The sequence below is a fragment of the Homo sapiens genome, chromosome 11 (genome assembly GCF_000001405.40).
Source record: "Homo sapiens chromosome 11, GRCh38.p14 Primary Assembly".
NCBI classification, from domain to species: domain Eukaryota; kingdom Metazoa; phylum Chordata; class Mammalia; order Primates; family Hominidae; genus Homo; species Homo sapiens.
In genome coordinates, this window is record NC_000011.10 from 76,525,218 (window position 1) to 76,539,809 (window position 14,592).

Genomic DNA, 14,592 nt, shown 5'->3' on the forward strand with positions numbered 1-14,592 from the left:
TCTTGGCAAATGAACTAGAGCTCTTTCCAGAGATGGTGCTGGGAAGAGTATGCATGTGTTGAAATAAGTAATAACACCATTGGCAGATGCTTCATGTTTCCCTTAAGTAATTACAGCAGATAGTTAAAATTGTGATTTTTGTAATTATATTTAGCTCTGAATTCACAATGATTGCTTTTTAGCCAGCTCACGTGGGTGCTTTGTTTTTACTGGCTGCTAAGTTTAGATAGGCACACGTTTAGATGATGCTGGCTAAAAATTAAGAAAAACTGATGAGGTGAAAATTCTCAAATCTTTTCATTTCCATCTTAAGTTTATGGATTTTAATTTTAAAAATTTTAATAATTTAGTAAAGTCACTGTATTTGAACTTAATTTAGTTAAGTTCATGTAAAAAGATGTTGATTTCATGAGTGACCAGAAAATGGTACTTAAGAATAAAGTAGATGAAAGTATAGAAAATGATGAAAAGTTAATGGATATAAGCTATCTAGTTAATAGACTAAAAGGATATTAGTAATATATGAATAGTAAAACATAGGAAGCACTCTGAGTTTTCCCTTCCTTTTTTTCTATATGTAACCTTATATATTATTAACAATATATAACATTCTTTCCTCATGGCATATGTTCATCAAATTTTTCCTATATATAACCTTAGAAAGAATGTTAATACCTCTGCTGATTTTGCTTGCCCATACTTTTTCATGTAGACATTCTACTATATATCCTTATAATTTCATATATGTAGAACTTAGGGGATGTATTTTATGTGTGTGCATTTAGCTACTGGTATATTGCACAGTAATTTTCTAATTACACAAATACTTATTTCAGATAAATTAGAAAATAAATATGTATGTGGGGGTTAAGACTTATAATCCCAATTCTTAGAGACAAGCATTAGCAGTGTACTATACCTTCTTCCAGAATTTTCTGACTATTATAATATATGTATTCCATTAATGGGATAGTGTAATAAGTATTTTTGCATGTGGTAATTTTTTAAAATTCGCTCATCAGAGAATAATTAATTCCTTCTTTGGGTAGAAAGTTGGTCAGATGACTTTCTATATCATTTCAACCAAGTCTACGATTTTTGATTTCCTGGAAACATTATACTTTGTTACATAATCTACAGCCCTTTTTTCATCATCCTGGTAAAACCTTACTGATTTTTCAGTGAGAGGACTTTATCATTTATATGCATATAAATCTCTTATATAATCATTGACTTCAATTTAGGGAGAAAAGACTATTCAGACAGTGCCAACAGGAGCAAAGCCAGCTATCCTTACTGCTACAAGACCCATCACCAAAATGATTGTAACGCAGCCAAAAGGAATAGGTTCTACAGTTCAACCAGCAGCTAAAATCATCCCAACAAAAATTGTTTATGGGCAGCAAGGGAAAACGCAGGTATGCTATAAGATATGATGATTTTTCTTGGCTCTTAAATATTTTCAATTCTTATAATTCCCGGGTAGAAATTTGAAGGAAAAGATCAGCAATCTTTAAGAAATCAGATTGTTAAAAGTTATGTTTGAATGTGTTAATTATTCAAGTATTGTCAAAACTTCATTTATCTTTTCAGTACTTTCTTAAAGATACCTAAATGTGTATGTTGTGCTATCAGCAAAGATTATGGGGAAATAATTACCTAGGAATACAATTTGCTGAAGGTGTATTTTGTGATTTGAGGGGGGTGGTTGAGGGAGGATCATAGTCATTCAGAATCACTCAAAGAAAAATATTTACTTTTTATAAGCTACCATGGCCTTCAAAAGCATTTTATTTACTTATAAAATTAGCTTTGCTTGAACCCTTGAACAATAGATAAGCTAGAGTTGTATTTATTTTTTAACCAATAGAAGATAAGGGAACTTTTCTGAAAATTTGCCTTGGAATTTGAGGCTCAGGATCTAATCATATGTTGCTAGGCTACTGTTTATTTTGTAGGTATTTTGCTTTTCTGAGAATATCGAGGGAAGCACTATTAGTTTCGGTTGAGAAATGCCATCCTAGAATTTTTGTAAGAGGTATTAATGTACCTATAAACTACTAATTTACTTTTAGAATCTGTTCTCTCAGAATTATAGCCAAATACTTTACGTATCTAAAAAAAAAATAAGCTTTGTGACAAGTCCAAATTGCCTATGGAGTTTAATTGTAATAATTTCATTTGCTTCATCTAAAGTATGTTTTCCTTCTTAACTCTTGGAAATGGGTAACTTAACAGAGTCTGAGAAATTTTAGAATCTTATATGTGGTAGAAACAAAAATAATTATGAGTTAATAGTTTTTATTCCATGGACCCAATTGAAATTAACTCCTAGAGTTCAGATTTTGAAGTAGAATGGCCCAGTTTGAAAATTTTCTCCCATTTCACTTGTTTCACTGTTTGTTTTTAACTTTTGCCAGGAGCTGATCCAACACATGTTCCATGTTGCTTCTGATAGTTGTCAAATCAATATTCATCTGGGGTTTCTTCAAAGATAGGGCCCAAGCAAGTTTTACTTTTTGCAGGTGTGTCAATTAGGAATTTGATTTAGTTTCTAATGAAAAAAAAAAAGAAAAGAAAAAAAACTTGAAGAACACTCGCTCAAACAGATTAGGGTTTTATTTTTATTATATTAATAAAAGTTCAGAGGGAGGAAGTCCTGGACTGATACTGCAGCACAAAAATTCCACTGGGAATCTAGACTCCTTGTGTCTTTTTGTTCTGCCATCCTCAGCTTGTGGATATCATTTTACTATATAGTCTACAGATTATAAAATGACTCCTGAAGTTGTAGGCAAACAGGCACAAAGGTTCTTGTCAGAATCATGGCTATTGCACTCTGGCATGTACCACTTAAAACATTGTATATGGCTTACACTGTAATTTGTCTGTAGATTGAATTACCCTTTGATGAGCAATGCTGTGCCTAAAAAGTATAACGTACAGAATAGTTTCCATACCAGGAAAATATTAGTTTATGACCTAGAAGTTTAGCATTTTTAAATCGTTTTCTAAAATTTTATCTCAGTATATTTCTGCTTTTCTCCTAGGTTCTTATTAAACCCAAACCAGTGACTTTTCAAGCGACAGTTGTTAGTGAACAAACAAGACAGCTAGTAACAGAAACATTACAGCAAGCATCCAGGGTAGCAGAGGCTGGTAATTCATCTATTCAGGAAGGAAAAGAAGAACCACAGAATTATACAGATAGTAGTTCCTCTTCTACAGAGTCCTCCCAGAGTTCCCAAGGTAAGATCTATTTTACTTCTGATTTATATAAGTACTACTGACATAGTGCCCAAATTCTAAAATAGAGGTTGCTTCTACACATTTCACAACAAATTTGTATGCTCTATCAATTCTTTTCCTTTTTTTTTTTTTTTTTTATTGTTTGATGTTAAATCGGTGAGCTGAAATTTTATTTTTGGTAAAGGTTACCATTCTTTCCTGCATGGAATATGTTCATCAAATAATTAACTTTAGATGATGAATCTGTCAGGTAGGTAATATTAAACTGGATAGAGTTATGATTCCCAGATGGTAATTTTCATATTCTTCCTCTCTGGTTTGGGTAAGTAGGAGAAAACGTATGTAAAGAAGTGAATATATATTTTGAAATGGTTATTGCTATACCCTGAGAAAGAATCAAGGTGGTCAGAGGTAGACTGTAAGTGGGCTGTAAGTAGGGTGACTATACATTCCAATTTGCATGGGACAAGTCCTAGTTTATGTTGTTCTGGCACAATTATTAAAGTACTCCCTTTCACTCTGAAAAGTATCCCAGATAATCATATGGTTGTCCTAATTATATGGAAGGAACGATGAAGCTAGATTCTACAGCAGAAAACTCTTTGTCCTCGGTGCTGTTTGAATTATGTTACTCTTCTACGAAACCTCTTGAAATAAACTCATGATCATAAACTTTGAGACCTTCTACAAATCTAGTACTCATGTCTCTCAGTTATCTTAACTGCCCTTATCCTTGGGTGGTACATTTATGTCTGTGCTTATGTGCTCTGATGCATCTAAGCAAAGCTGTTTATCTTCCCTTGTTCTTTCCACACTCTCTCCATTCCCTCTCTCTGCCTTCCCATTATCCTCTCTGGGGTGCTTTCTTAGCAACTTCACTTTTCTTATACACAGTCTCCATATTGTGCAAACACTAGTATTTTAACTCTTTGGTGGAGTCTTCCTTGATTAGTCTTACATGGTTCACATTGCTGATTAGTCCATTAATTCAATTTGACAATTATTTATTAGTTTATACTACATACTAAGCATTATGCTAGACCCTACAGAAGAGTACAATATAGTTCTTGCCCTCCAGGAGCATAAAATCTAGATCTAGAATAGGGGATTTAAAAAATACACATGCAACTCTAGTATAAGAATTTTATTAGTAGCAAACAAAAAAAATGCCAAAGACTGAAAGTTGACATGCCAGTGAGGAGAGGATAAGAAAGCATTCAAAATATTCTTTGAAAATTCATCAATTAAAAATAAATGAAAATGTTGATTTTTAACAAACATAATATGTCCCTCATTATAGAGAGTGGGTAGTTTCCTTCAGCATATTATCAGTGATAGTAATATTTTCTGAATCCGTTTGCTAAGATGGACTTTATCATTCTGTATTGATTATGAGTCAATTATCTGCTGATTACACTTGGTTGATGCTTATTCTCCAATCATTTCTTTTGGTCTGCAGTTTCTTGAGCAATACTGGCCTTTTTTGCACTCGAGATATACAAAATATATTTTCAAAGAGGGCAGATAAAATGTTTAGTATGAGTTGGTGCAAAAAGGGGACATGAACAGTAGAAGTCTGTATATACATAATCCTAGGTTATCCTTTGAAATTGTTAGTCCTTTCCTAAGAGAGCTGTAAACCAATTAGTACTTCCCAAACATGCCATTTCATTAGTTGAATCTTTAGGGTTTTTTTTTTTTTTTTTTTTGGAGATAGAGTTTCACTCTTGTTGCCCAGACTAGAGTGCAGTGGCGTGATCTCGGCTCACTGCAACCTCCGTCTCCTGGGTTCAAGCGATTCTCCTGCCTCAGCCTCCCGAGTAGCTGGTATTACAAGCACGCACCACCATGCCCAGCTGATTTTTTGTATTTTTAGTAGCGACGGGGTTTCATCATGTTGGCCAGGCTGGTCTTGAACTCCTGACTTCAAGTAATCCACCCGCCTCGGCCTCCCAAAGTGCTGGGATTATAGGCGTGAGCCACTGCGTCCAGCTGAATCTTCAGTTTTTATTCTAAGAATGGGACATAAGTTTGCATCTTCTGTTTTTATTCTATTAGGTTGGTGCAAAAGCAGTTGCCATTACTTTTAATGGCAAAACTGCAATTACTTTTGCACCAACCTAATACATCTTTCATTGTATATTACTTTTTAAAATATTCTATAACAGAAAATTTCACAATTTAGAATAGGCATAGTTGACTGTAAGGCAGATTTTTATAATCTGCCCCTCCCCTTATCGCCTTGTATAGCTGTTTACTACATTCTTACAAAGACTAGGTCTGGGAATATATATGCTGTGATTTAAAGAGAAAGGGATTAAGATGTTGGTTGGTCTCAGGTCATGCTGATTTTCAAAGTATATGAGAATATTCCTACTTATTAAGAATGTAAGTACTACATAGTTTATTTTTCTGTTACATTGTTGCTTTTGTAGTTTTTAGCCACTTTTTTCTTTTTAAAGTAACCTTTTGATATAATTTCAAAATTACAGAACAGTTGCAAGAATAGTAAAAAGAACTCCTGTGTATACTCTTTACCTAGATTCACTACTTATTTACATTTTGCCCTATTTGCTTTGTTGTTGATTCTCTGCCCCCCTTCTGCTGTGTGTGTGTATATTCTTAAAATTTCTTAACCATGTGAGAGTAAGTTGAGCTAACATGTTTCTTATATTTACTTACATTTGTAGGCCTATATTTCTTAAGGATTCTTCTCTTTATGACTAAGATACAGTTATCAAAGTCAAGAAATTTAATGTTATAATAATTATCTAATTTACAATCCATATTCAAATATTGTTAATTAGCTAATAATGTTCTTTATGGTTTTCACCTGTCCTCAATAAAATTCAGGTCGACACATTGCATTTAGCTGCATTTAACTGTTGTGGTTTTTTAATTCTCTTTAACCTGGAATAGGTCCTCAGCCTTTCTTTGTATTTCATGACTTTGATATTTGAAGAGTGTAGGTCAGTTACTTTGTAGAATATTCTTCAGTTTGGTTTTGTCTGATGTTTCCTCATGATTAGATTCATCAGGAATTCCACAGATAGGATATTATATCCTCAGTTTTATCAGGAGAAACATGATGTCAGTTTGTCCCAGCATAGATGATGTTAACATTGATCACTTGGTTAAGATGATGTCTTCTAGTTTTCTCCACTATGAAGTTAACATGTTTCCCTTTCAGATTAATTGTAATTTGTAGGAAGGTACATGATATAAATATCATGTTCCTCATCAAACACTTATCCAGTAGTTTTAGCATCCATAGATGATTTTCCGAAGTTCATTATTCTTTGCACATTTAATAGTTGGCATTCCACTATAAGGAAAAATCAATCTTTTCTTAACTTCAGGTCCTTTTTCTGGTGACTTCTGCTACACAAGTCCTGGAATAAGGACTACGTATGCCAAGAGAATGCCTTGATTCCACTTGTGGTTTCTGAACTTCACCTACTGTCCTCCACCCCCAAGGAAGAGAAATTTTTATTTCTCAACTGTCTCCATATAGGCTAGAATATCATCACCCTATTTTGAGACTTTCCTTGATCACCCTGAGAGGATTCATTCTTCTATGTTAGGCTTCCAATATTGCTTTGTACATCAGCTCTTTTAACACTGACAATTTTATTTTGTATGTTGTGTTTGTTTGTGTGTTATAATTGTTTTCTTTTCCACTAGGCTACTAGCTTCTCAAGCTTAAAGATCATATTCATCTTCATACATATCTGGCATTTATCCAAAGAGTTCAGTTAGGACTGAGAAGGTACTCAGTAAAAGTTTCACCGAATGAACAAATAGCAGAGCAGCAACCATAATAACTGTGGCATTGGGTTAAGCTGCAGCCTTATAAACTCATTTTTGTTGCCTGAGTCCAAAATGTTTTTTTTTTTTTTTTCTGGAGTTCCCCCTAACCTTGTGAGTGGGCCTTTTAAGTAGTAAGTAGTATACACCTAGATATGGATAGATAGCTAGGTGACCAAACCTAATGGATTAAGGCCATCCTCGCCTAGGTCACTTACTAAAGATCAGGTCATATGTCATATCGTTCCTGTGCTTTTCTTCCTAAATGGGCTTTTTCCCCTTTCTCATTTGGGAATGGGGTAGCCTAGAACGTATTTGGGAATGGGTTCCAGATTTTTTTTAAACACATATTAAAGATTATTTATATTATGCTTTGTTTCCAAAAGGTTTTAAGGTGGATTAAAATATAAGATTATATTAAGTGAAGTGGAAGAAAACAAGGAGACAAACCCAAGGGCAGAGATTTATAATGGAATAAGGCATGAGTCAAATACAAAAATGTATCTTGTAAAGACATTGCTTTGAGTAAGTCATAACTCAGTTTCTAGAATGATTTCTTTCTGAAGTTTCATGATCTCAGTACGTCAAGGTGAGGGTGGGGAATAAATCCAGGTTGAGCAGAAACATACTTATTGCAGAACTTTTCAGAGCAATTATGTGCTAATATGTATATGAAAGATTAAGAGTGGAAGATACAATATAAAATGTTCCCCAACTTTTTTGACCATGGAACCCTTTTTTTGCAGAACATCTTGAGGAACAAATGTTCTCTGGAACATTTTGGGCCTTGCTGTCTAGGCAATTAAATACTGTGAAGTCCTTGAGCTTTATGACAGTGCTTCAGAGGGAAGGTATATATTACATCGTAAAAGGGATATAGATATCTTAGGTTTAGTTTAGAAGCAATGATTTAGATGTGTAAGGTGTTTAGAATCACTTTGTATGAGCAATAGTTGGTGGAGACAGGATTTATCATGAAGAAGAGAAGATGGGGGTGGGTTGGGTTGGTGGGGACATAGGAGCTTTTGTCAGTTATCTTCAGGACTGTGATGTGGATTAAGGAAAAGAATTGGTCTTTGTGGATACAGGAACAGACCTAGAAGCGCTAAGTAGAAGTCACAAGACCTGTTTCTACTCAATATGAAAAAACTTTCTGATTGTTATAACTGTGCAGAGTTGTAAGGAAACTGTCTTAGAAAGTAGTGAGTACTTTGGTGCTGGAGTTCTCAGACCCATGGGAATATTGTGAAGATTATAGTATAAGATTGATGGCAGCATTAAACAAACTTTAAGATCCCTTCTAACGGAAAAGTCTTAAGATTCTATGAAAGTATGATCTAGGCCATTTATAATAGAGACATAGGAGATATTCTTCCATAGAGATGTCTGAGTCTGCCTTTGAGTATACTGTTAAAGTGTATATCTCTAGTATCTAACGTGTAGTAGGTATCCAACAAACACTTGTTCAGTGCAGAAAGACATCTGAGGGACAGGCTGCCATCTGCAAGAGATGCAGGAAGTCTAGATGAACGCACACTGCATAAGCACATGTTACTGGTGCAAGCTCCTGATTTCCTAGTCATTGCGTTCCATGACTTGATAGACAGTAGCTTCATTTAGGTCTAAGCATAAGCCAAAAGTAGGAGAGAGAATCATTTAAAGATGGGTTTTCACATAGGTTCACACACTCATCTTGTGTCACAGGGTTGCTACAGTGATACTTATGATGGTCAGCTGCTCTTTCTGAGTATAGACAGAAAGAGATGTAGCAATCTCTCTAGTACCTACGAGGTGATGTTGTTTGGGATAATGGTCTTTGGTAGATGCTCTCCTATGGAAATTTGTTTTCCCTTTTTCCTATCTCTTTCTACCTTATCTCTATAAACACAATCCCTGCCTTTTGTGGATATTCAGTGTGTCTTGTAGGGTTGGGTTGCAAAGTCATTCTTTGCCTATATCATTATGAAAATTTCTTAAGTTTGAGAGCTTAAGTTATATAAAAGGAATGGTTTCATAATATAATCAATTCTCTTAAGTTTAAATTCTACATATCTACTTAAAATGAATAAAAGCTGCTCTGTGCTTCACATGGCATTTGGTATTGCAGGATAGCATCCAGTCTTCTGTATTTCTGGGGAAGTTTAATGGAAAATTATATATCTTCATGTGGCATATATTCTACCTGGTGTTTTGGGGAGGAAAATATAGTTTGTTCATGGTAATTAAAAATTCTAGGTCTATTGTGTATTGATTTTGTTTTTTTCAGGAAGGCTGTTTTGTTGGAAGAGTTGTTCCCCTTGCCCCAACATTTTTCAACAACTTTGTGGCTTTAAAAAATATAAGGTTCATAGAGGGTTAAACGTTTATTATGTTTATTCTTGTTTTGGGGGCTACTTGAATTCTTTTCATTCTTCTGTGATGCTTTCACTGACCATCCCAATTCAAAGCAGCCTCTTACTTTCTGTTTGTCTTGTTTGCCCTAATCATTTGATATTTGCCCTAAGCTACAAAGCCATATATCTTTATTTGATGTTTCCCCCATTATAATCTGAATATAGAGGAAGGAATCATGCCTTTATGTCCTCCACAATTTCCTCTATGGTGTCTTGGACAAAGGAGTTTAGGAAGTTTGTAATAGTCTAGTCCAACTTGCTTATTTTATAGGTGGAAAACTAAAAGAATAACTTGTTGCTTGATTTGATGCACATTTAGTATTTATATGTGTACCTGTATAGCATGAATATAATAAGCCTTGGATTAGGGCTGTAATTTATTTTGAAACTAACAAAGGGTCTTAGAATTCAGAACTTCCAAGCTACAATAGCAACAATAATAACATTTCTATTGGCCTTCATAGTTTATAAAGCTCATTTCCATGTATCATTTCATTGCATACTCAGAAATTCTATGAGGAAGAGAGATAATTTTATTCCCATTTTAGAGGTAGTGAAACTAAGACCCAAAGAATCAACTTGCTAATAATTGATGTAGTTGGGGCTATAATCCAAGACTTTGAGCTCCAGATGTTACACTTGTCCTGTTATATCATGCTGGTTCTAGATCATCTGTCTTTTCTTGCTGGCAGTGAACAGGATTTCCTTCAGTAATTCAGCCATCCAATAAGTGTTGACAGAATGCTCAGGCTGTAATACAACACATATTTTCAGGTGCATTGGAGAAAATAAGACTCCTACAGCATTTTGTTCTTACTATACACAAACATGCACTCACCTACACATATGCGTATCTATTTATAATAGCAATTATCACATTGAGTTGTGATTTGTCTTTTTACATGTCCGTCTCCCCAGCCAGACTATGTGCTTCTTGAGCATCCTCTGATTATTCTGTGAGCTCCTTTATATCTTCAATGCCATATCTAGATTCTGGCACATAAGTGTCCAGTTTGTTGTGAAATCAATGAATGAGTGAATGAATAAGTGAATTCAGAAGTGAAAGACATTATGCCTTCTAGGGGCTTATAGTCTTCTTGGGGAGATAAAGCATGAAGTTTACAATAAATAGAAAGATAAGCAAACAGACAAAAAAATTGTTTGTTTTTTTTTTTTTAAGAGAAACTTTGTTTATAGGGTTTGTTTTTTTTTAACTAATATAAAACAGATTCCCAGCCTGTAGTTCATGTAATTGCTTCCCGGCGTCAGGATTGGTCAGAACATGAGATTGCAATGGAGACTAGCCCTACCATAATTTATCAGGATGTATCCAGTGAATCACAATCAGCTACTTCAACAATCAAAGCTCTGTTAGAACTCCAACAGACAACAGGTATGAATTCACATGCTCAATTGAATGAAGCATGTTTTCTCTAGAGACGGGTTGTGCTAAAATACTACCACTGTTATTATTTATTATTACTATTATTTATTATTATTATTGCTATTATTTGAGCACATTTCCCCCCTCTGGACTTGTCTATAATCATTGGTACAGTCTGGTTTACTTGTTAGTTCAGTAAGATGTGCACAGGAATATTGAAGTACAGATGGACTATCTGTAGAAAAGAGAAAAAAAATTGACAGCTCTGTCTTGTCTCTTGCTTAAAATGGACAGTCCTATTGTTCCTTAGCACTAGAAAGGAGTAGTTCTATCACTTCTAAGCACAAGGCTAGATACAGTACAGTTGCCAGTTGCATTGAAGAATAGCAGGAGGCAGATTGAAGGGCCTTGCCATCCTCCTTGATATTGGTGGAGCACAAAACACCTTTAGTGGCCCTTGCTAACATTCTGATTTGTTTTAATTTTATCTTCAGACTTATTTCTTTGAATAGTATAGGTTAGCCACTTGAGCTGTCATGCAAAGTTGTCCTCATATAACTAGATCCTATAAGTATTTCTAATTACTAAATATCTTTGATAAACTCTAGAACAAACCTGTGGAAGTTATACTGACTTTTCCTTTATAATAGGTCAAAGATTTTCAGAGTATTTAAATGACCTTAGCAATTATGTCATCCAAACCTTTCATTTTATGGATAAGTAAACTGAGATCTAGAGAGGTTATCCAGTTGATTAGTGGCAGAGTGAGACTCATCTTTTGGTTCCTAGTTCAATGTCCTCTCTACTTGTAGGGTGACTTTTGTATTTTTGTTGTTGTTGTTGTTTTACTTATTTTGTTTAATTGTTTTGATTTTTGTCAGGTTATGTACTCAGTGGGTATGAACATTCAGTGGACTTAGTTACTGGTTACCGTTTATTGTAACTTCCACCTTGTTTGATCCAAAGATTACTAGCATTTAATGTAAGTCTTTGGTTAATCCTTCTGTCGGTGTTATTTTTGACCTTAGGGATTTCTTCGGTTCTTTGTCGTTGACATGCTGAGCCATTTCTCTTAATGCCTTATAGAGGTGGGGACTTTGAACGCATAGATTTTGTAGAAAAGTTGATAACAAGGTAGAAAGTGAATCTATTAATGGAAATCATTCTTGATTCCAGACTGTTATATCAGACATTTTTCTAGAAACAAAGAAGCCATTTTTTTCTAACAATGAAAATTTTTATTCTTTAAAAGTTGTTGAAGACATTGTAACATTCCTTTGGAGATATCTTGAATTTTTAATAGCTCAAATTAAACTGGTCACTGTGTTGTGCTATTCTGGGTAGATGTGTCCTAGAGCAAATCATGTTATGTACTGCTTATTCACCCTTTGTTTTTAGGTTGATGAACTCAAGACCACAGGGAATACCTTGAAGAAGGGTATAGGAAATACCTTAAGGAGAGTGTACAAGATAAAAATTCAGTTGTTTGGCTTAGAGATAAAAAGGAGATGATTTTTGTGTTATTGTATGTAAGTCCTTCTTACTAGGCTGCTGAGTATGGTTATGCAAGTTGTGCACTAAACAGCCATACATAGCAATCTGCTTTTTTCTTTTCAATTCACTGTCTACTTAGTCACTGCCAGTGTGGCACCCCAGAGGTCTGGTTCATTATTCCTGTGGACAACTCTGGTTTTGGTACTTGTTTGTAATAAAAGTTAACTTTTCCCCTGACTTTTTTATGCAGTAAAGGAAAAATTGGAATCTAAACCAAGACAACCCACTATTGACCTGAGTCAAATGGCAGTGCCTATTCAGATGACCCAGGAAAAGAGACATTCTCCTGAGAGTCCATCAATTGCTGTGGTAGAGTCAGAACTAGTAGCTGAATACATCACTACTGGTAGGTGTCCTCTTAAAATGTAGTATTAAGGTAGGAGAACTACCTTCCTGGATTTCATGGGATGATTGTGTGGGGGAGAATATATTCTTTATATTTTTAGCTTTTTCCTCTTTGTTTTCAGAGCAAATTCACACCATCCTTGGGATTTACCCTGTCTTTAATGACTAGGAAAAAAAATAGGATGTTATGAAGTTTGTAGGTAATATAAAACTACAAGTCAGCCATAAATAACAACTGTGAATATACAGCAACAGTTGTAGGGAGAGGATAAAATATCTTTTGTCTAAGAATGAGTTTTGTTTGTTTTTTGTTTGTTTGTTTGTTTTGAGACAGGGTCTCACGCCCATCGCTCAGGCTGGAGTGCAGTGGCGCGATCATGATTCACTGCAGCCTCAACTTCCTGGGCTCAGGTGATCCTCCTGCCTCAGCCTCCTGAGTAGCTGGGACTACAGGTGTGTGCCACTATGCCTGGTTAATTTTTTGTATTTTTAGTAGAGATGGGATTTCGCCATGTTGCCCGGGCTTGTCTTGAATTCCTGGGCTCAAGAGATCCGTCCACCTTGGCCTCCCAAAGTGCTGGAATTACAGGCATGAGCCACTGAGCCTGGCCTAGAATAAGTATTTTTATGCATCTAGAGTTTTTAGTTTTGTGGGAAGGTGGGTCAAGGGGGAAAGAAGAAATAAAATCCGGTCCTTTTAATATTTTTCAAAAAGTAGAAAACCTTAGCCAGATGCAGTGGCTCACGCCTGTAATCCCAGCATTTTGGGAGGCCGAGGCGGGCAGATTGCTTGAGGTCAGGAGTTTGAGACCAGCCTGGCCAACATAGCGAAACCCCATCTTTACTAAAACTACAAAAATTAGCCAGGTGTGGTGGCACTTGCCTGTAGTCCCAGCTACTCGGGAGGCTGAGTCACGAGAATCCCTTGAATCCGGAAGGCAGAGGTTGCAGTGAGCTGAGACTATGCCACTGCACTCCAGCCTGGGTGTCAGAGGGAGACTCTGTCTCAAAATAAAAACAAAAACAAGCCAAAAAACCCTTAAATCCATTTAAATACTTACAAGTTCTGGTGGAAAGCAGATTAGCTATTTGTTTAAAATGTGGTCTGGCAGCAAAACACTGAGATTTTTAGATGGCATATATAGAGAAATAAAACAAGATAGATTGTTTCTCTCCTATTCTGATTAGATGACACCTGGAATACTGCTTTCTCTTTTGAACACTTTATTACTTTGAAATTTGAAATAGTTCAGAGAGCAGTAATGTGAATAATTAAAGGGTTTAAGAGAGATGACTTATGAGGCAATATGTAGAGGACTCCTTTCTTAAGTTTTCTTTAGCAGTGGTTAAAGGAGAACATAAACTTACAGATATTTGAAGGACATAAATACCAAAAAGAAAAGGAATTCTTTGGCATCATTTTAGGAGATAATATTATTAAGACTAATGGGTTAAAATTGCCAAAGGGGAAAATCCAGGTAAGATATGGAAAGCCATCTAGAATCTTTCTTTAGAGATATTTAGCAGAAAGCTAATTCAAGCAGAGGCCAGTATTCTGGGGAACATAAATAACCTCTGGGGGTAGACTAGATTCTTGCATGGTGAACAGATGAAAAGACTATGATTTCTTCCCTTACTTATCCTTTCAGAACGCACTGATGAGGGGACAGAGGTTGCTTTTCCCCTTCTAGGTAAGTGGTGTGCATCCATTTGTAGTATCACTGAAGGTAAAAGATGATTGTTTTGGGGGGAACCGCTTAAATGGATGCGCTCTACTCTCATCTGGTAGAGGAAAGGTAAGCTCCACTTAGTGAAAGGAAGAGAGATTTTTCTTTTGTAGAATAGTGGAATTCTTTCTCA

General features: G+C 35.4%; 1 protein-coding gene across 50 annotated transcripts in view; it reads left to right on the forward strand.

Moving 5' to 3' along the window:
- Positions 1-14,592, forward strand: part of EMSY (EMSY transcriptional repressor, BRCA2 interacting) — a 108,014-nt gene that overhangs the window by 80,200 nt on the left and 13,222 nt on the right. For 19 of the 50 annotated variants that reach the window (XM_047427269.1, NM_001300942.2, XM_047427298.1 and 16 more), the window contains 5 exons: positions 1,245-1,418; positions 3,051-3,249; positions 10,678-10,842; positions 12,578-12,733; positions 14,382-14,423. In XM_047427269.1, the coding sequence (XP_047283225.1) occupies positions 1,245-1,418; positions 3,051-3,249; positions 10,678-10,842; positions 12,578-12,733; positions 14,382-14,423 (736 nt within the window). The remainder of the gene's footprint in view (positions 1-1,244; positions 1,419-3,050; positions 3,250-10,677; positions 10,843-12,577; positions 12,734-14,381; positions 14,424-14,592) is intronic. The other 31 variants (XM_047427273.1, NM_001300944.2, XM_047427300.1 and 28 more) reach the window with 4 other exon arrangements.